The 22,827-nt window shown below is 36.6% G+C and overlaps 1 protein-coding gene across 35 annotated transcripts in view, besides 1 other annotated feature; it reads left to right on the top strand.

The window, feature by feature from the left end:
- ODF2L (outer dense fiber of sperm tails 2 like) overlaps positions 2,948-22,827 on the top strand; it is a 49,487-nt gene continuing 29,607 nt past the window's right edge. For 6 of the 35 annotated variants that reach the window (NM_001184766.2, NM_001366781.1, NM_001184765.2 and 3 more), the window contains exons 1-7: positions 2,948-3,238; positions 12,185-12,356; positions 13,681-13,813; positions 14,470-14,595; positions 16,075-16,137; positions 16,269-16,340; positions 16,913-17,029. In NM_001184766.2, the coding sequence (NP_001171695.1) occupies positions 12,244-12,356; positions 13,681-13,813; positions 14,470-14,595; positions 16,075-16,137; positions 16,269-16,340; positions 16,913-17,029 (624 nt within the window). In that variant the 5' untranslated portion in view covers positions 2,948-3,238; positions 12,185-12,243. Of the gene's footprint in view, positions 3,327-12,184; positions 12,357-13,680; positions 13,814-14,469; positions 14,596-16,074; positions 16,138-16,181; positions 16,341-16,912; positions 17,030-22,827 lie in introns of those variants that run through there. The other 29 variants (NM_001395535.1, NM_001366779.1, NM_001395530.1 and 26 more) reach the window with 18 other exon arrangements.
- Positions 2,974-3,023: an enhancer, noted in NCBI's record as "active region_1276". NCBI's record gives its function as "activates an Ori minimal core promoter by ATAC-STARR-seq in GM12878 lymphoblastoid cells {active_cell/tissue: GM12878}" and the evidence as "EXISTENCE:reporter gene assay evidence [ECO:0000049][PMID:35858748]".

Below are 22,827 nucleotides of genomic sequence, written 5' to 3'. Positions count from 1 at the left end.
GTTGTGGAGGATGTCCCGTGCATTGCAGATGTTTAACAGCATCTCTAGCCTCTACTCACTAGATGCCAGTAGGACACTTGCCCTTCCTCTTTGGCTGTGGCAAAAAAAATGTCAAGAACCACTGGTCTAGATCTAAAGTTAGATCCCAACATGTTCCAGGGTATAATAAAAGATCTGACCTGGGAGAAGGGTTTCATACCAAAAAAGTGCAAGATTTTGCTTATTTATATTGGCAGAAGACTATAGAAAATGATAATGAATTCCAAGTGTGGCAGACCAGGGATGAAGGAATATTTTTGATGAGACCAAGATATTAATATGAATACATTTACCAGAGACCATAATTCACTGTTCTTGCTTTGAACATCTAGGAGTGGCTGTCAAGGTTTGCTCAGTTGGTTGATTGAAACTAAATAAAGTTGAGATGTTAGAAATCTCTTGATTTTAGAGGATTGAATTAAAAGACTTAGGGAAAGGGGTAACGAAGAGAGGTTGATTAATGAGTGCAGACATACAGTTAGATAGAAGAAATAAGACCCAGTGTTTGACAGATAAGTAGGGTGACTATAGTTAACTATAATCTATTGTATATTTCAAAATAACTAGAAGAGAACAATTTGAATGTTCATAGCATAAAGATAAATATTTAAGGTGATGGATATCCTGACTATCTTGATTTGATCTTTACACATTACACATTCATATAAATGTATCCAATTATCACATGTACCCTGAAAATATGTACATCTAGTATGTATCAATTTTTAAAGAAGACTTAGGGAATAGTACTGTATGAATGGATTTATCATATGTTACCCAGTCATCTCCTTTCAAAGGTGTTCTGAGAGGGCCAAAGGACCTTCTTTTTACTAAAGCATTGAGAAAATATAGGGAATGCCAGAATCCTTTAAAAGCTCTGTAGCTGCTATTCTATAAGCCTGGGGATAAAGATGCTGCCATTGCATGAAATCCCTAATTCCCTAATGGAAATAGTAAGATCCCAAAGTGATAGAGGCCAAGTGATACCACTGAGCCATCAGAGATGAGATATCTGTTGATACCATGATACCAGCAGGGTGTATCATATTGTTTGACTAAGGGGGATCTTTAGGAGTTGATAATTAATCACTGCCCCTATAATTGAAATGGATAGTCTGCTAAGATTCTACTTAATTTGTACAGCAAAAAATTTACCAGAACTAATGAAGAGACCTGAATGTCATAACCTTAAAGGAGATTTACAGCATCTTGACATTGGCTTTTTGACTCATGGCTATTATAATAGGAAGACAAAGTGGAAGCCTTTGGAACTGCCCTTATCTACTAAAAGATTAAACCAAAGGCAATACCATAGTCCTAGGGGAATTCCAGTGATTAGTGGCACTATTAAAGAGTGCAAAGATGTAAAGGTGGTGATTCTCCATCACACTTTCATTTAACCTTCTGTTTGTCCTCTGCAAACAGGTTATCTAAAATGTTGCTTTTTAATTTTGAAGTATTATTTGTATTCAAGTATCTTTATTCTATTTCATTGCCTGCTATTTTTACATTCTAGTCCCCATTTGTTGCCATGAAGATAGAAATCACAATTTCTACCCAACACTGTAGTGTTGCATCCTGCACACAAACGTACTTTAGTGAGCTCATATGTTTATGTTTATGTATCATCTATGGCTTTTCTTGGTAAGACAATGGCAGAGTTAAATAGTATCACAGAGACCATATGACCTGCAAAACCTATTAATAAAATATTATCTGGCTGTATGAGCACATTTTCATACTGCTATAAAGAATTGCCTGAGACTGGGTAATTTATAAAGGAAAGGGGTTTAATTGACTCACAGTTCAGCGTCGCTGGGGAGGCCTCAGGAAACTTACAATCATGACGGAAGGTGAAGGGGAAGCAGGACACCTTCTTCGTTAAGGAGAAGTGCCCAGTGGAGGGGAAAGAGCCCCTTACAAAACCATCAGATAGCTTGAGAACTCACTAGCATGGGGGTAAACGGCCCCCATGATTCCATTACCTTCATCTGGTCTCTCTCTTGACACGTGGGGATTATGGAACTGCCCCCATGATTCAATTACCTTCACCTGGTTTCTCTCTTGACACGTGGGGATTATGGGGATTACAATTCAAGATGGGATGTGGTCGGGGACTCAGAGCCTAACCATATCACTGGCCCTTTACTAAAAAATTTACTAATTCTGTCTCCCGCTTTAAATTATGAAAGGGACAATTACAGTACTGGTGGAAAAACATTGCTGGAGTGCTTTAGTGAAACCAATTATTTAGGTAGCAGCATGCCACGGTTATGGCTTAGTTGACAGTTACTCTACTTGTGAACTTCATAGGTTGGTGTACGATTCTTAACATGAATATTAAGTAGAGGCATTGAATGAAGATATTTTTCCAATTAAAATCTTGCTTTGCTTCTTCAGGACTTTATAAACCAGACCAGCTGGCTGTGGCACAGATACGAAAGACTTTGAGACCCTGAAGGCACCTTGCAGAACATCCTCAGGCTTCCTCATTTAACAGGAAAAAACCTGAGGCCCAGGGAGGCATCTCAGCTAAAAATACTACTATACATTTAAAAGGAGGTTTCTTCCGGTCGCAGTTGCCTTCACGTTTTCAAATCTTCTCTTTAAAAAGCAAAAGCAGGGCACAACCAGGCCAAGCGCCAGAAAACTCGGAATTGGCTTTATTTCCTTTTTTTCTAGTTGGGCTCGGTTATGATTTTCGGTAACGTACACAAATGCTGTCCTTGTCCATAAACAAACGCTTAAAAAAAAATGTTTACCCGAGAAACAAGGATAGACACGAAGCTGCCCTCCCTGCCCCGTTCCTCACCCTCTCCAATAGCTATAGGCGCTGCCCGCCGTCCCTAACCCGGACCAATCGGCAGCCTGCTGCGGGCCTGACGGGAGGGGTGGGGCCGCCGTTGCCAGAGAAGCCACTAGCCGGTTACTAGCTGCGCTTTTGTTCCACTTGAGCGGGCACTCTTCTGCGGCAAGCAGGTCTAGGAATTCGCCTGGTTCCCACCTCGCGTCCCTTGCCTTCCTTCCTAGTCTACCCACTGTAGTGCCCCCTGCGTCCCGCTCCCTCCTAGCCGACTCAGAGCACAAGAAGGATTGCCACGGTTTCCATTGCAGCAGCCGTGGCGCCTCTGACCCTTTTTTTATATCGCGGCGACGGCGGGCTGTCGTCACGACGACGTGCGGACGCAGCGGCGGGGGCGTAAGTACGCCTTTTGGGTTGGGGGCGACTTTGTGGGGAGCCTAGCTGCTGCTGGGCGTTTACCGCGGGAGCCCTTAGCGGTCTGGAGGTGAGGGCAGTGGTGGGTCCCGGAAGTAAAAGGCCCTCGCGCCCACCCAGCCCCCTCCGCGCAAACCCTCCACCTCCCTCAGGCTGACTACCTGGCCTGGGAAAAGGGCGGCGAGACTCACTCTTAGGAAGGGTGTGGTCCCCGGGACATCAGGGCAAATGTTAGCGTGAGGTGGGCTTGTGCAGAACGAAGTCCTGACCGGGCCGTTCCTGGATATGGTTGCATTTCTTTCAGAAATAGTGACCTCTTAATCATTGGGCTGGTTTTTAATCGCCCATCATGTGATATATCAGATTGTAGGAAGCCCTGGGGGCTTCGTAAGTGAGGTATATTACAGGAATCCTCAGGAAATAATTCCTTCTCCAGGATTCCTCTAGGTTCCAGCCCCTATAGGCGACCCCTGTAGTGCGGGATTGACCTAGGGTCGTGGAGAGTGCTAAAGGCCGACTTGTGTTCAGTCCCAGCTCTGCCACTGAACCCGCTGTGTGGCCTTGTCTAGGTCACTGAACCTTCCTGGATTCCTTACTGATAACTGTAACAGTAATCATCACTTTGGGGTGGTTGTAATACGAGATTAAGTAAACGCAGGGCCATTAAGGTGGCACCGAATGTAGGTGGTTAGTGAGTGGTGGTGCTTGTTGTTTACTGAGAATAACCATACTGGGGCTGCTGTTGGGGATAAAATCTATTTCGAAGACAGTTTCCTCATCACGCAACGCATAGTACGGTTTCAAGTGTTTTTGAATGAATGAGGTTCTTGGAGTTTTAAGTGCAACTGAGTTAAGGTTAAAGAAACAAACCGGGCCGGGCGCGGTGGCTCACGCCTGTAATCCCAGCACTTTGGGAGGCCGAGGCGGGCGGATCACGAGGTTAGGAGATCGAGACCATCCTGGCCAACACGGTGAAACCCCGTCTCTACTAAAACAAATACAAAAAGTTATCCGGGCGTGGTGGCGGGCGCCCGTAGTCCCAGCTACTCGGGAGGCTGAGGCAGGAGAATGGCGTGAACCCAGGAGGCGGAGCTTGCCGTGAGCCGAGATCGCGCCACTGCACTCCAGCCTGGGCGACAGCGCGAGACTCTGTCTCAAAAAAAAAAAAAAAAAAGGAAAAAGAAACAAACTGCAGAAAACCTGTCTGCTTTTGAAATTAGTTTGATATTCTGCTTATAGTAAGAATGTCATGATCATGTTTATGATTTGCTTTTTGCTTCTCTTTTTCATCTTCTTATTTCACAATGGATGTGTATTTATAGTGTAGTTTTTCTATCCCAAAAGTTCCTTGTGACAAACTTTAGAACAATGGAATTTAGTGATCTGGTCGCGGTCTGCTCTCTCTCTTTAGAATTGTAGTCTGTGCTTTTAGCTAGCTCATTCATCACTCATTTCCTTGTCCAGAACAGTTTTCATCTTTTGAATCTAAATTGAACTTATGAGTATTAAAACCTGACTGAATAAAGGCAAGTTTGTGTGTTACTTTTTGCTTTGTAGATTTTTATATTTATGTTTTAGTATCTCATGGCTTTTTTTTTTTTTTGAGATGGAGTCTCGCTCTGCCGCAGTGGAGTGCAGTGGCGCGATCTCGGCTCACTGCAACGTCCGCCTCCCGGGTTCAAGTGATTCTCCTGCCTCAGCCTCTCGAGTAGCTGGGACTACAGGTGCCCACCACCACGCCTAGCTAATTTTTGTATTTTTAGTAGAGATGCGGTTTCACCATCTCATGGCTTTTAATTCAAAACTGAGTTCCACCAATTCCTTACTTGTAATCTTGGACAAGCTATTTAACCCTTCTAAGATTTAATTTACTTATTTATAGCTTTTTAATAACAACCTTGTGAAGCTTTTGTGAGATGATGTTTATAAGGTCAGTCAGTGCTCTGCTCAGTAAATGGCAACAGCTGTCGTGTTGAAGGAAAGGAATATGCTTTATGTTTGTCTGGTACAGGATGGTGACTTTATTTGGGATTAGACAATATTCTGAACATCTTTGGCCAGGTCTTTTTCCGGGTAATTGGGCTCTATATGGACACTCAAAAGTGTCCGAGTTTAAACAGTAAATAATTTAGTCACCCTAACTTATATTTGAGAACCTAATCTATGCTCCCCACTGTGTTAGGTAATTTTTTAGGGCAGAGAGTGATGCGTATTATTTGTCCTCACAGTTAATAGCAAGTTTAAAAGAGAACTAAAATATGAGCATTTATGGAGCAGTTAAATTCTAAACTATATGATTCTGAAAATACTTTTGTTTAGAGTTCTTGATGGGCTGGAGAAATCAGGGCAACACTTTGAGAAGGAAATGGAATGTTGGCTTTGAAGTACATGCCGTGTTTACAGAACAGTCACTCTTGCTGTCAACTCTTCTTCCTATATTATCCAGTCTGCAGCCCATCTTTTAAATATACATCCTTCTTTTTTCATTGGAGAGAGGGATTACTAATTTGTTATCTAATCTAATCTCTCTGTATCAGAAAACGTTTTTTCCATTTTGGTAGCTTTTACGCATAAGATTTATTTTCCAGCTTTTTGCCTGTTTCCAAGATTCCTATCCTTTTTTTTTTTTTCATACAATTACCTCTCTAGTAAACGTTTGACTAGTGTCCAGAATAGTAGGGGGAAAAAAAGAGGATTCCTGTATCTACTTTGTGTTCCTTGCTGAATATGCCATGGTGACTTTTTTCAGTAGAAGCTGTGTTTGAAGCCAGTGGAAGTTAGTTTTCTAAGAATTTGTGTTTGGCAAAACAAAATGTGCAGGTTTCATATGCTATTCTCTTCAGAGATATTGTTTTAAAATACATATTCATCTGAAGTTAGTTAATTTACTTAGTCTGATCTAGGTGTTAAGGAAGGTCATGGACCATGATTTTCCTTTTTCTCTGACCATGGCTAGCATCATGGTCCCTGAGCAGTTATCCCCAAATGCTTGCTGTTGGCCACAGTGGAACATAGTTTAGTGAATGTAGCTGGATCAGCATAGCCTACAAGCACTCCTGGAAAAAGCTTTAAGTACATGTCCTCTTGGCAGTAGACTGGCAAAATTGTCTCTGTATAGGAAATTTAAATCTTTAAACATTTTAAAATATTTTAAAATTGCTCATCTTTAAGGATTTTTAAATGGTTTTTTAAAATTTTTTATTTCCATAGGTTTTTGGGGAACAGGTGGTATTTGGTTACATGAGTGAGTTCTTGAGTGGTGATTTGTGAGATTTTGGTGCACCCATCCCTGAGCAGTGTACACTGAATTCCAATTGGTAGTCTTTTATCACTCACCCCCTTCCCACCCTTTCACCCTGAATCTCCAAAGTCCACTGATTCATTCTTACCCCTTTGCATCCTCATAGCTTAGCTCCCACTTATAAGTAAGAACATATGATGTTTGGTTTTTTATTGCTGAGTTACTTCACTTAGAGTAATAGTCTCCAATTCCATCCATGTTGCTGTGAATGCCGTTAATTTATTCCTTTTTATGGCTGAGTAGTATTTTATCATGTATATATTATATATATATGTATATCACAGTTTTTTTACTCATTGTTTGATGGACATTGTGTTGCTATAAACATGCATGTGCAAGTATCTTTTCTATATAATGACTTCTTTTCCTCTGGGTAGGTGGCTAGTAGTGGGATTGCTGGATCAAATGGTAGCTCTACTATTAGTTCTTTAAGGAATCTCCACACTGTTTTCCATAGCGGTTGTACTAGTTTACATTCCCACCAACAGTGTAGAAGTGTTCTCTTTTCACTGCATCCATGCCAACATCTATTATTATTTTTTGATTATGGCTGTGCTTGCAGGAGTAAGGTGGTATCACATTGTGGTTTTGATTTGCATTTCTCTGATCATTAGTGATGTTGAGCATTTTTTCATGTTTGTTGGCCATTTGTATATATTCATTTGAGAATTGTCTATTCATGTCCTTAGCCCACTTTTTGATGGGATTTTTTTTCTTGCTAATTTGAGTTCATTGTCGGTTTTGGATATTAGTCTTTTGTCAGATGTATAGATTGTGAAGATTTTCTCCCACTCTGTGGGTTGTCTGTTTAGTCTGCTGACTATTCCTTTTGCCATGCAAAAGCTCTTTAGTTTAATTAAGTCCCAGCTATTTATCTTTATTTTTATTGCATTTATTTTTGGGTTCTTGGTAATGAAATCTTTGCCTAAGCCAATATCTAGAAGGGTTTTTCTGATGTTATCTTCCAGAATTTTTATAGTTTCAGGTCTTAGATTTATATAGTTTCAGGTCTTAGATTTAAGTCTTTGATCCATCTTGCGTTGATTTTTGTGTAAGGTGAGAGATGAAGATCCAATTTCATTCTCCTACATGCGGCTTGCCAATTATCCCAGCACCATTTGTTGAATAGGGTGTCTTTTCCCCACTTTATGTTTTTGCTTGCTTTGTCAAATATCAGTTAGCTGTAAGTATTTGGGTTTATATCTGGGTTCTCTATTCTGTTCCATTGGTCTATGTGCCTATTTTTATACCAGTACCATGCTGTTTTGGTGACTGTGGCCTTATAGTATAGTTTGAAGTTGGGTAATGTGATGTCTTTTCACCTAGTCTTGCTTTGGCTATGTGGGCTCTTTTTTGGTTCCAAGTGAATTTCAGAATTGTTTTTTCTAGTTCTGTGAAGAGTGATGATGGTATTTTTATGCGAATTGCATTGAAATTGTAGATTGCTTTTGGCAGTATGGCCCTTTTCACAATATTGATTTGACCCATCCATGAACATGGGTTGTGTTCCATTTGTTTGTGTTATCTATGATTTCTTTCAGCAGTGTTTTATAGTTTTCCTTGTAGAGGTCTTTCACCTCCTTGGTTAGGTATATTCCTAAGTATTTTATTTTATTTTGTTTTGTTTTTGCAGCTATTGTAAAAGTGGTTGAGTTCTTGATTTGATTATCAGCGTGGTCACTGTTGGTGTATAGCACTGCTACTGATTTGTGTACATTAATTTTGTATCTTGAAACTGCTGAATTTATCAGTTCTAGGAGCTTTTTGGAGGAGTCTTTAGGATTCTCTAGGTACAGAATCATACCATCAGCAAACAGCAACGGTTTGACTTCCTGTTTACCGATTTGGATGCCCTTTATTTCTTTCTCTTCTCTGATTGCTCTGGCTAGGACTTCCAGTACTATGTTGAATACAAATGATGAGAGTGGGCATCTTTGTTTTGTTTCAGTTCTCAGAGGGAATGCTTTCAACTTTTCCCCATTCAGTATTATGTTGGCTATGGGTTTGTCATAGATGGCTTTTATTACATTGAGGTATGTCTCTTGTATGCCGATTTTGCTGGGGGTTTTAATCATAAAGCGATGCTGGATTTTGTCAAATGCTTTTTCTGCATCTATTGAGATGATTGTGTGATTTTTGTTTTTAATTCTGTTTATGTGGTGTATCACATTTATTGACTTGTGGATGTTAAACCATCCCTGCATCTGTAGTATGAAACCTGCTTGATCATGGTGGATTATCTTTTTGATGTTGAATTCGGTGAGCTAGTATTTTGTTAAGAATTTTTTTTTTCTTGAGACGGAGTCTCACTCTGTTGCCAGACTGGAGTGTAGTGGCATGGTCGTGGCTCACTGCAACCTCCGCCTCCTGGGTTCAAGCAATTCTCTGCCTCAGCCTCCTGAGTAGCTGGGATTACAGGCACCCGCCACGATGCCCAGCTAATTTTTGTATTTTTAGTAGAGACAGAGTTTCACCATCTTGGCCAGGCTGGTCTTGAACTCCTGACCTCACGATCCACCCGCTTCAGCCTCCCAAAGTGCTGGGATTACAGGCGTGAGCCACCACGCCCGGCCTTTTAAGAATTCTTGCATCTATGTTCATCAGGGATATTGGTCTGTAGTTTTCTTTTTTGGTTATGTCCTTTCCTGGTTTTGGCATTAGGGTGATACTGGTTTCATAGAATGATTTAGGGAGGATTCTCTCTTTCTGTATCTTGTGGAGTAGTGTCAATAGGATTGGTACCAATTGTTCTTTGAATGTCTGGTAGAATTCAGCTGTGGATCTATCTGGTCCTGGACTTCTTTTTTTGTTGGTAATTTTTAAAATACCATTGCAGTCTCACTGGTTGTTATTGGTCTGTTCAGGGTTTCTCATTCTTCCTGATTTAAGCTAGGAGGGTTGTATCCAGGAATTTATCCATCTCCTCTAGGATTTCTAGTTTATGTGTGTAAAGGTGTTCATAGTAGCCTGAGTGATCTTTTGTATTTCTGTAGTGTCAGTTGTAGTATCTCCCATTTCATTTCTAATTGAGCTTATTTGAATCTTTTCTCTTCTTGATTAATCTTGCTAATAATGTTCTGTCAGTTTTATTTATCTTTTCAAAGGACCAGCTTTTTGTTTCATTTATCTTTTGTATTTTTTTTTTTTTTCAGTTTCATTTTGTTCTGCTCTGATCTGGGTTATTTCCTGCCTTCTGTTGGGTTTGGGTTTGTTTTGTTTTTGTTTCTCTAGTTTCTTGAGATGTGACCTTACATTGTCTGTTTGTGTTCTTTCAGACTTTTCAATGTAGGCATTTAAGGCTATGAACCTTTCCCTTAGCACCACCTTTGCTGTATCCCAGAGGTTTTGATAGATAGTGTCACTCTTATCATTCAGTTTGAAGAATTTTTAAGTTATCTTTAAAATGATTTGATCCTTAAACATGTATACAGAATATGTGTCTTTGTTGCACCCAACACTGACAAGTTGTACAGAAGTACATTTGTCAGTTAACAGTATATTCCACATTACTGAAAACATTTTATTGTGAAATGTCTGCTTTTCTATACAAGAATACATTTGGTCCAATAAAATGATAGCATTTCTTATAAAGCAGGACTTTTTATGCTAAATAAAATTATTACATTTTTGTTCAACACTTATTTTTTGTTACACAATTATCACAACACAAAAGCAGTGGAGTGCCTTGGAATCTCTGAACAATATTTGTCCTGGAGAAGATGACTGTTGATAATTTTCATGGAAATTCCTGAGACAAATAGTTCTCTTCCTTGTGTGTTGAGAAATCAGTAAATGTAATGTAGATTCCATTTTAGAATGTTAGGTAGAAAGTCATTCTGAATTCCTATTTTTACAGTGTGTTGATTTTATTTATTTGTTTACCCTTTAAGATAAGTGGCAGTTACCAATTATAGGTGATGAAGCAGAAAAATTTTATGACTTTATCTTATGATAAAACTTTTAGAAAAGTTGTGTATAAAATACCGATACCAAACTAGTGTTATCTTGTAAAATATTTTCTACAAATTGAAAATTTCTATCTTCTTACATTGTTTTTTAAACCTTTATTCCAAATATGGGAACCATTTGTCTTTTAATGATCCCTGAAAAGACAAATCAAGGGGTGAATTTAAAAAAAAAGGCAGTCTTTAGTCATTATATTCTTTAAAAGCTCTAAGCCTTAATGTTTTCGTTCAATTATTGCTTAGCTTTTACAAGGCTTGTAGGTGCTGAGGATTCAAATATAAAAAAGACATTCTTTCTTGAGATTCCAGTCCACAGAGAGACAAATATGACAAATATTTAAACAAGTAAAAGGGTTGGTACCAGTTGCTTTCTGTATGGGGATAGCTATTGCAACTGAATGAATTAGTAGATGATGGTTCTCTTGATTGCAGTGACTTATCCCGAGCATATTCTTCTTAACTTTTAGGTTTGGTTTTTTATTTTATTTTGTATACTTGTAATTCTTCTAGTTTATAGATAGCTCGAAATATTGTTATACCATTGTAATAGATGTTGCATATTTGCAGCATTCAAGGGAATCATCCTAGACTATCTGTTGGTTACTCAGCAGTTCTTTTTGGACTTCACTTTCTGGTATTTAAAAAATGTGACCATACTTCATTGGCCTGTTTCCTAAATATTTGTCTCTATAGTATATAGAACATTCAGATAAAATATATACATTTTATGGACACTTTGGAAGGTTTCTGAATGGCTAATTTAAATAATCTTCAACCTGTAATTTCACTTCTACTCTAAGTGTTAAAAATTCTTGAATATAATATGTTTTGTAATACAGACATATAAAACTAAATTACAAGGAGGTAAATATCCAAAAAAATGTAGAAAACCTTAAATATAACCTTTGATTTTGTGTAAACATAAAATGAAGTCAGGGAAGACATTACCACATATTGTTAGAGTTGGGAAAAGAGAGCCTTAATGGTTGCCAAAGCTCTAACTCATTACTTAAATTGGAGTAGTTTTGAAGAAATTAATATTCACATTTTTAAAGTGACATCTACAGGTGTGAGTAAAAACAATTAGATTGGTAAAATTTGGAAGTAATGTCATCTGTCTGGTCTTTTCACTATCACCAATAATATTCTAGATTGAGTTGGGAATAGAAGTAAGTGAATTTAATTTTGAAAAGTCTACTTGCAATTGAGTATCCTATCCTTTGTAGCTATTGTTGCCAAGTACTTTGAAAAGTTGAATTTCTACAGATTTAGGCATAAATAACATACATTTCTTATGGCATGGGCCTAATAAGACAGACTATAGGTAACCCATGGTTTTTATATTTGTTTTATAGTCCTGCTGGGTTCAAATATTGTAATACTTCAAGAAATAGACTAATAAAGATTTTTACACTCTTGTGATTATTTAGGAATTATCAGGCCTTTTGGAAACAGTGTATGGAAATTGGCAATTGTTGAGTGGTTGTGCTATGAAATTTTGATACAATTTTGAAGTACTATAACAATGAGTAGCAGTTATACTTCTTATTTTGTCTTTGAAATGTTATTCTTTTACACATCCTTATAACCTTTATTTTTTATGAGAGAGTAATGACAAAAAAACTCTATTGAAATAAATTTAATAACTAAAATATTTCCTAGCTTTCAGCTTATGTGGAGAAGTCGCTGTGAAGCCACCTATAAATCCATTTACTGAATTTATGGAGAAGGCTGTAAATGATGGAAGTCATTCAGAAGAACTCTTTTGCCATCTTAAAACTATATCAGAGAAAGAAGATTTACCACGGTGTACCAGTGAAAGTCATCTCAGCTGGTATTCTCATCAGTATCAGGGGAAATCTAAATTTCCGATTCTAGGATTTCCTGTTTTGTCTATAATATAAATTATTTGAATCAAATACAGCATTCTTTTAAGAGTATCTTTTCCAAATCTAGTATTTATTTATTAAAATATATTTAATCTGATTACAAGTGTACTCATCTAGCAGAATTCAACTAGTTTTTTTGAATCTTAATGAAAGCAATTAAAAATGAAAACCTGGCCGGGCGCAATGGATCATGCCTGTAATCCCAGCACTTTGGGAGGATGAGGCAGGTGGATCACTTGAGGTCAGGAGTTCAAGATCAGCCTGGCCAACATGGTGAAACCCCATCTCTACTGAAAAAATGCAAAAATTAGCCAGATGTGGTAGCGTGTGCCTGTTGTCCCAGCTACTTGGAAGGCTGTGGTAGAAGAATCACTTGAACCTGGGAGGCGAAGGTCACAGTGAGCCGAGATAATGCCACTGCACTCCTGGGTGACAGAGCCTGGGTGACAGAGCGAGACTCCATCTCAAAAAAGAAAAAGACAAAAAAAATGAAAACCTCATCTGTTAAGAATTTGTAAAATAAAGCTATTTAAGATAAATGAAAATATAATATGTGATATCAGAAATGTAGTTAATGAATGTGAAATCACTGTCATTTGGTATATTACTATATAGCAAATACTTGTCATACTTCTTTAGAGTGGGGAATACACTTGTTATTTACATGAAATATTGCCCCCCGTCAAATGGCAATCTTAGTATATACCATTACTGTCAGTATGGATAGCTTAGTCCAGCTTCTGGTTGAATTTGTTATGAATGAAAATAATATTTTATCATCTATAATCACACTTGACTTTCTGCCCATGGTTTTTAATAAGGGACAGGTGTCGTTTATAGATAGAATGTTCTTAGGCTCATTACTTTAAGCCAGTTGTGCTTAAGAACACACAGATTTTTGACATAGCCTCTAAGATGCCATCAGTTGTTAATGAGCCGTTATGTTTTACAAAGAAAGAGAAAAGCTGCCAATTAAAGAGTTTCCATATCACTTGGAATTTTATTTATAAATATTGAAAATGCTCCTTCAAACTTAACTATACGTACATCTTTAATCCAAATAACTTTTGTGATTACGTACAAGTAAAATATAAGTAAAATAAAGTATTCTTAAAATTTGCTTACACTCAAAGTCCAAGTTTCGAGCTACTTTTGAACTAAAAGTTGTCCTTGCTATTAAGAGTACTGTATAGGTGATATGGCATTTCTGAGGAGCATCTTTAAATGAAATGGATTTAACTTAAATTTTGTATGTGCATTTGTAATTAGCCTGAAGCAGGACATTCTAAATGAAAAGACTGAATTGGAAGCAACACTTAAGGAAGCGGAGTTGGTAACTCATTCTGTAGAATTGCTTTTGCCACTATTTAAGGACACCATTGAAAAGATTAATTTTGAAAATGTGAGTGACTTATGAATATATAATAAAATGAAAAGCTAGTATAATACTCAGAATGCATTAACTGAGGTCTCATATCTTATATAGGTATGCTCACTTATGAGTATTTCATACCAAAAATGAGGGTTTATCAGAATTCTTTATTCCTGTGTCATTAACTACAGTTCTTTTCCTGAAAGATAATCTCAGCATACACCTGATAAGAGGCTAAGCTAGAAACAATATATTTTGGATGTTTGAATTACCCGGAGTTGAACTAGAAAATCAGCTTTTCTTAAGAGTGAATTTTAAACTAAAATCTTCTGAGAGATGAAATATATCTGTTTCTATAGTATTATTTGGAGTAGATAACTATTTTTAAATTTCAGCATATTAAAGTTTAAATTAGGGACAAACAGTAGATTATCTTCTATAACTTTTATTTGAATAAAAGCCTAAAATGCTTTTAGAATCTAAGCTCTTATTTTGATTTCATTTTATTTTAATGTACTGTATAACAGATCCAATTTACTATTGACAAATTTCGTAGCATTTATTATTACTATGCACAAAAGAATGATTTTGTTTAGTAGGAAAAAATATTGTTTGATAATATATTTTAGAGGGTTTTATTTAATGCTGTGTCTTAAAATGTGTATGTGGTTCTTATAATTTGTCAGGCGAATCTTTCTGCATTGAATTTGAAGATTTCTGAACAGAAGGAAATATTAATAAAAGAATTAGACACCTTCAAAAGTGTAAAACTAGCTTTAGAACATCTTCTTAGAAAGAGAGACTACAAACAAGTAAGGCATCAACACTAAGCACTCATTTTAATAGTGATATTTCTCATTTGAAGGATACATTATTTTTAAACTGTAGAAATTATTGGTATATTTGAAATGGAAATAATGCTTTGAATTTTGTCAGTCATTAATCCCCACCTTTAGTGTTTCATAAGTAGTTGTATATGAACACCACGTTTTTATAGAAAATGTATTTTTATTTTTCATCTCAAAAACTTTGTCATACTTAATTGAGCTGATTCTAATAAAATATACACTTTTTGAGTTTAAGATCTTTGTACATTATATTTATACATATCTATATATTCTTCATCTGGTAAAAGCTTTATTGAAATAGAATTCACATACCATACAGTTCTTCCATTTAAATTATAAAATTCAGTGGTTTTCATTGTATTCACAGAGTTGTGCAGCCATCACCACAGTCAATTTTAAAGCATTTTTATCACTCCAAAAAGAAAGCTTATCCCTTTAAATCACCTAAATTATTCTTCTGACTCCCTTTTGGCTTTTTCCTATGATAAAAATTATTTCAGAATTGTAAAAACTATCTAATATTAGGTAATAGTTTTTGTAATTAAAAAGTTACATGCTCATAGAAAATTGTGATAAGCAGAGAAATATTCTCTTGATCTCAGCACTTAGTGAAACATCACTATTAAGAACTGTTAGTTTTATGTTGTGTACATTTTGCAGTATTTTGTTTCTTTATATATGTTACGTGTGCATATATACGTGGTGTTTTAGAAAAATGGAGTAAAACTACTATCTTTGTTTTGTAACTGGACTTTTATACTTAACACTGTATCATCAATATTTTCTCATGTATTGAATATTTTTTGAATAGAAAGGAATCTTAACTTGAGCTCTTTGAACACTTATGGATCCAAGGATGACCTTTATGAAATCCATGTACCCTCTGAAATTCCGTGTACAATTTTGCATTATATGTACATATATATGTGGTTTTGGGTGAAAAGAATTGATAGCTTTTTCACATTCTAAAGCAGAAGTATGACTCTCAAAAATGAGTAAATAGTCTTCTATGATCTCATTTAAAATGGCTATATAGAATTCTGTTACTGATTTGCTGTAATTCTTTAAGAGATTTCTTATTGCTAGAATTTAGATTGTTGATAATTTTTGCCTATTTGTAAACAGCACTGTGTTGCATTCTATACTCTATACAAACTCTATACAAACTTCTTTTGTATAGAGGATTTTTGTGAGTTTAGTGTCATTGGCCTATACTTTCTGAAGCATTCTTTTGAGATTAATTTAGTAAATTAACTAATTTCATAAATTGCAGACCAAAAATAATTTGGAATACTAGGGCAAAAATCTTTTCAGTTGTTAACTCTTTTAAAAATCTGAATTAAAAGTCATATTAATTTATTGAGTAGTGCTTATTTCACTTCCTACTTTTTTATATAGAGAAATATAATTTGCGATCACTGATTTATAACATTCTTTTCTCAGACAGGAGACAATTTATCCAGCATGTTGCTAGAAAATCTAACTGATAATGAAAGTGAAAATACTGTAAGTCTTTCCACACTTACTTTGTGTCCATTCTTCCTGTCATTGTTATTTGCATGCTGCTTGGTTTTATAAAGTTAGCCAATATTATCCAAGTTGTGAAATTCCTAATTCTTATTTTATATTTGCTCAAGAATCTTAAGAAGAAGGTATTTGAAAAGGAGGCCCATATCCAAGAACTTTCTTGTTTGTTTCAGAGTGAAAAGGTAAGCAAAATTTGAGCTTTTGAGCTTAATTCATTATATTAATATTGACTCCCTTTTTTTTCCCATCCTGGCCCCAACTCCTCAGAAATAAACACAGAAAAGTGTTTTGAAATTCTAGATTATTTGGATATTTTACAGGTTTTACCTATCAAATATAACATCTTAATTTTATTAAGTTTTTTTAGGGTTTTTATGGTGTTTGTCAGGATACTTGGCATAAATCACTTCATATAGGAACTGTTTTAAATTTGTATTGTGTTTCAGTTGGGGAACAAATTAAGGAATTTTAGTGTTTGTAGGAGCATTTTAGGTATACCCATACCTTTATTTAGAAAGATAGATGGGAATTTTAAAAAAGAAAGCCATTAAATAAAAAATGTTGGGGGATAAAACTTAGCCCTGGTTGGGCATGAAATACATTTGTAATAGGGGCGGCAGTTTATGTAAAGTAGTGCTTTGCTTTTTATCAGCTGTTTAGATTGTGCCTAAATCAGGGTAAAATTAAAGATATTGGGCTGGGGATACAGCAAATAATATGGATTTTTTTGGTTTTCTCTTTCTCTTTGTTACAGGCAAATACTTTGAAAGCAAACCGTTTTTCCCAATCAGTAAAAGTAGTACATGAACGACTACAGATCCAAATTCATAAAAGGGAAGCCGAGAACGATAAGTTGAAAGAATATGTAAAGGTTATATATAAATATATATCCATTTTTATAGCTTAAGTGATAAAATTAATGAAAGGCCATAAAGCCTTCCTTAGTTCTAGAATTTGGTGGTTTTAAAATACACAGTTGTTGACATGGGAAATACATATTTAAGGTAAATCTTAATATTTGTGGCCTAACTAAAGGTTTGGGTACAAATTTCAACATAAAAATGCTGTCTCTGTTTAATACCAATCTAGGAAGGATTTATGGAATTGAATTACTTTAAAAATCATTTCCACTTTATAGTTAATTTATATTTACTGTGGAAAATTTATAGAAAATAAATTTAAATATACCAAAATCATTGTTAACATTTTGGTGTACATTATTTCAATCTTTTTTCTCCATCTATACATATATACATACATACTTTCACACGTTTAACAGTCAATACGATGTTTATTTTTTGTTACTAATCGTAATAATTTTAAAATCAGCCCAACTTTGATGTTCACAAAATTAAGTAATTCCCTTATTAAACAACTTTGTAGGAGTATAATTAAGGGGAATTTTTTGGTTTAATTATTCTTTTGGAGTCAAAGTCACTTTGAGATAAGAATTTGAGGTGGCATATCATACAATATAAGGTAACTCTTTTTTTTTTTCCGCCAAAGGCAAAGAAGCAATATTCCCACCTTGAGAGGTTACAGAGACTCAAACTCCATTGAGTGTTGAGGACTTCTGAGTTAGATTTCTGTTTGGTTTTGCACTCCTGAATTATAGCAGATGTCTGCAGCCTGTAGCATGTTTCAAAACCATACTCGAGTTTGGGTGTGTGTGTGTGTGTTCCTTTAAAGGGACATAATGCGGGTTTATGGGGGATAATAAATTTTGTATGCTAGGGCACTGCAGATGAACTGGACTTGGTATTGCAGTGGTCTGTCATAGTAAATACAGGAGAACACATGTGATTGAATACATCTGATGTATGATTGAACATATTAGATAATCATCTTTCCCAATTTATCTTAAAGCGTAGTGGTTATTTTTTATAACCATGATAATTTGGAGAAAGAACATAAGGCTAAAATCCTAAAATTTTGCTATGAAATTCAACTATAATTTGAATTCAAATTCTTTTACCAAAATGCTACTGTTAAGAAATGATTAAAAGAAACTGTCTGAGTCTATGAATTTTTCTACATTTTCTCTCACACACTTTTGGATTTAAGGCATTAAGTGATTAAGGGGTTCAGAATTTAGTTCTTTTTGAGTTAGGTTTGACAGTGGTTTTTTTTTGTTTCGTTTTTGTGTTGTTTTTTTTTTGAGTATGAATCCAATGAACTCAATTTGGCAACATCAATCTCAACTTTTTAGTGTTGAGTAATTTGTTGTATTGAGTCTTTTAAAAATTTACATTATAAACCTCTGGGAACATCCCACAGATGCCTTCCACCAATTTTTCTTTCTAGATCTTTGTTATGTAGCAATTAGAATTAGAACGTTTTCTTATTTTCAGAAGAGACTGAGAATGATTGTCTGTATAAAATGTGACATGTATACAGACATTGCTTTGGAGATAGAAAAAGAAGATAATCAGCTTTATGTGTTCATTCATTTGGCAAATGAGAGGTTATTTTTAAATTATAAAAATAATTTGTCATTTCAGTATACTCCTTGATAGTGTATAAGTGTGGGATTTGATAAATCTGGTGAGAAGATCGTGTCTGGAACTATGTTCAAAAAGAAAATTTAGTTTCTATGTTTAGAAGTTTTTTAACCTAAGAAAGCAACTATTCATGGTGTGATGATGACACCGTGTGGACTTTTAGAGGAATGACAACAGTGTTTCCTGTGGGATGTTCCTTTGTCTTATGTCGACTTACTGTACTGCTGTTTTTCCCCAGCTACTTATGTTTTATGGGATTTTGTTTTTTAAAAACAATTTAAGAATGTATTGCTCCTTCTCTTAGTTTACTTAGTCACTCTTCAAAAAAATCAAATCTAAATCTTAATATATACTTCTTAATCTCAATTTTAGTGGCAGTTAAGAAGCTTAGATTTTGATGATTGTAGAGTTAAGTTGAAAAGTCCTAGGTTTAGCTTGTACTGTGACTCCTTTGCAATTTTTAAAAATTAAAATGGCTTTCTAAGGAATGGGAGACTAAAACTTATTCTGTGATAATTTCACATTCATTTCAGTATTACACAGGTTTTGAAAATGTAAAAACATTAAAATCATAAGTCTTTAATAGATACTTAATACTCAAATACTTTAAGTACACAGTCTTAAAATAATTTGAAATAAAAGCATCTGAGTTACCACATTAAATCACATCCCTCATCTACCCAGCCTAATATTCCGTCTCTCATCATGTCACCAAGAGGTATGCCAAAGAGATAGTCATGCCAATTAGTTACAATCACATTCAATGATAGAAACATGTCCTCAATAATACTTATCTTATGACTCTTATAGTCATTAATTTATCTAAACCTGTGTTTGGTCTTGGAATAATGACTTCCATACATTTACTTTATTGGATAAAGCAGTATTTTATTATCTTTAATGTAACTCTAGTGTCAGGGCGTGCCCCCTAAATCTAGTAAATTAAAATTTGGTAAAAAAATCTGTTTATCTCGTCTATAGCCTTCTTAAAGATTATAATCATATCTTTAAGATTTTGTCTTTCAAAGTGAAGAGTCCTAATATATTTGGGGAGCTACCAATTCCTTTGAACATTGGTACATATTTGGATTGTTTCTAGCTCAATTATGTTTTTTTAAACTAGTTTTTAAAACTAGTATGATGTATAATATTCTAGATGTGAACTAAAAAAACTATCTGAGTTAATCACAGAAGTTTTAAGGAAGTTAGTGTTTGTACCATAATCACTATAGTATCTTTGATAATGGTAGCATTAGTTTGATATAGGATTATATGTTTTAAATTTGCATCCTTTAACAGGTTATAGAGAAGCATTGGTCCCCAATGTGTAGAGGATTATTGTATTAGGCCATTTTAACATTGTTATAAATGCCTGAGACTGCATAGTTTATAAAGAAAAGAAGTTTAATTGGCCCACAGTTCCACAGGCTGTATAGGAAGCATGATTCTGGCATCTGCTCAGCTTCTGGGGAGGCCTCAGGAAACTTACAATTATGGTGGAAGACAAGTGGGGAGTGAGGCATCTCACATGGTGGGAGCAAAAGGAAGAGAGAGCAAGTAGGGAGGTGCTGCACACTTTTAAACAACCTGATTTCGCAAGAACTCACTCACTATCAGGAGAACAGCACCAAGAGGATGCTGTAAACCATTCATAAGAAACAACCCCCATGATCCAACCACCTCCCACCAGGCCCCAGCTCCAACACTGGGGGTTACAGTTTGACATGAAATTTGGGTAGGGACACAGATCCAAACCTATATAGTTTGGCTGTGTCCCTACCCAAATCTCATCTTGAATTGTAATCTTCAGAATCCCCATCTGTCTAGGGAGAGACCTGGTGGGAGGTGATTGGATCATGGGGGTGGTTTCCCCCATCCTGTTCTCATGATAGTGAGTGAGATCTGATGGTTTTATAAGGGGCTTCCCCCCTTGGCTCTTCACTCTTTTCTCTCCTGCTGCCATGTGAAGAAGGTCCCTGCTTCCCTGTCACCTTCTGCCACGATTGAAGTTTCCTGAGGCCTCCCTAGCCATGTGGAACTGTGAGTCAATTAAAACTTGTCCCTTTGTAAATCACCCAGTCTCAGGTATTTCTTTATAGCAGCGTGAGAATGGACTAATACAGTTAATTGGTACTGCAGAGAGTGGGGTATTGCTATAAAGATACCCAAAAATGTGGAAATGACTTTGGAACTAAGTAATGGGCAGAGGTTAGAACAGTTTGGACAGCTCAGAAGAAGACAGGAAGATGTGGGAGAGCTTGGAACTTCCTAGAGGCTTGTTGAATGGTGTTGAGCAAAATGCTGATAGTGATATGGACAATGAAGTCCTGGCTGAGGTGGTCTCAGATAGAGATGAGGAACTTCTTGGGAACTGGAATAAAGGTGACTCTTGCTATGCTTTAGCAAAGAGACTGACGGTATTTTGCCACTGCCCTAGAGATCTGTGAACTTTGAACTTGAGAGAGATGATTTAGGGTATCTGGTAGAAGAAATTTCTAATCAGAAAAACATTCAAGATATGACCTGGTTGATTCTGAAAGCTTTCAGTTTTATGCATTCACAGAGAGAAGGTTTGAAATTGGAACATACATTTAAAAGGGAAACAGAGCATAAAAGTTTGGAAAATTTGCAGCCTGCCCATGCAATAGAAAAGAAACACCCATTTTCTGGGGAGAAATTCAAGTGGTCTGCATAAATTGGCATAAATAATGAGAAGCCGAATATTAATGGGGAAAATGTTTCTGGGGTATGTCAGAGGTCTTCATGGCAGTCCCTCCCATCACTGGCCCAGAGGCCTAGGAGGAAAAAGTGGTTTTGTGGGCTGGGCCCAGAGCCTTGCTGCTTTGTACAGTCTTGGGACTTGGTGCCCTGCATTCTAGTTGTGGCTAAAAGGGGCCAATGCATAGCTCAGGCCATTTCTTCAGAGGGTGGATGCCCCAAGCCTTGGCAACTTCCATGTGGTGTTGGGCCTGTGGGTGCACACAAGTCAAGAATTGAGGCTTGGGAACCTCTGCCTAGATTTCAGGGGATGTGTGGAAGTGCCTGGATGTCCAGGCAGAAGTTTGCTGCGGGGGTGGAGCCCTTATGGGGAACCTCTGCTGGGGCAGTGTGGAAGAGAAATATGGGGTTGGAGACCCCACATAGAGTCCCATTGGAGCACTGCCTAGTGGAGCTGTGAGAAGAGGGCCACAAGTCCTCCAGACCCCAGAATGGTAGATGCATTGACAGCTTGCACCATGTGCCTGGAAGAGCCACAGATACTCAGTGCCAGCCTGGGAAAGCAGCTAGGAAGGGGGCTGTACCCTGCAGGCCATAAGGCTGGAGCTGCCAAAGACCGTGGGAGCCCACTCCTTGCATCAGCATGACCTAGATGTGAAACATGGAGTCAAGGGAGATTATTTAGGAGATTTAAGATTTAATGACTGCCCTGCTGGATTTTGGACTTGCATGGGTCCTGTAGCCCCCTTTTTTTTGGCCAATTTATTTCATTTGGAATGGGAACATTTACCTAATACCTGTGCCCCCATTGTTTCTTGGAAGTAATTAACTTGCTTTTTATTTTACTGGCTCCTAGGCAGAAGGGACTTGCCTTGTCTCAGATGAAACTTTAGACTTGGGCTTTTGGGTTAATGCTGGAATGAAGTAAGACTTTGGAGGACTGTTGGAAAGGCATGATTGTGTTTTGAAATGTGAAGACATGAGATTTAGGAGGGGCAAGGGGCAGAATGCTATGGTTTGGCTCTGCCCCACCCAAATCTCATTTTGAATTGTAATCCTTATAATCTCCACATGTCTAGGGAGAGACCTGGTGGGAGGTGATTGGATCATGGGGGTGGTTTTCCCCATGCTGTTCTCATGATAATGAGTGAGTTCTCGTGAGACCTGATGGTTTTATAAGGGGCTCTTCCCCCTTTGCTCCTCACTCTTCTGTCTCCTGTCGCCATGTGAAGAAGGTCCTTTCTTCCTCTGCCTTCTACAATGATTGTAAGTTTCCTGAGATCTTCCCAGCCGTGTGGAACTGTGAGTCAATTAAACTTCTTTCCTTTATAAATTACTCAGTCTAGGGTATTTCTTTATGGCAGTGTGAGAATGGAGTAATACACAAACCATATCAGTTATGTACATATTTTTACAATGTTTACATAAACATTGGAGTTCTGAAATAATT

This window comes from Homo sapiens, chromosome 1 (assembly GCF_000001405.40).
Source record: "Homo sapiens chromosome 1, GRCh38.p14 Primary Assembly".
Taxonomy (NCBI): domain Eukaryota; kingdom Metazoa; phylum Chordata; class Mammalia; order Primates; family Hominidae; genus Homo; species Homo sapiens.
This window is presented reverse-complemented; position numbering and strand designations above follow the sequence as displayed.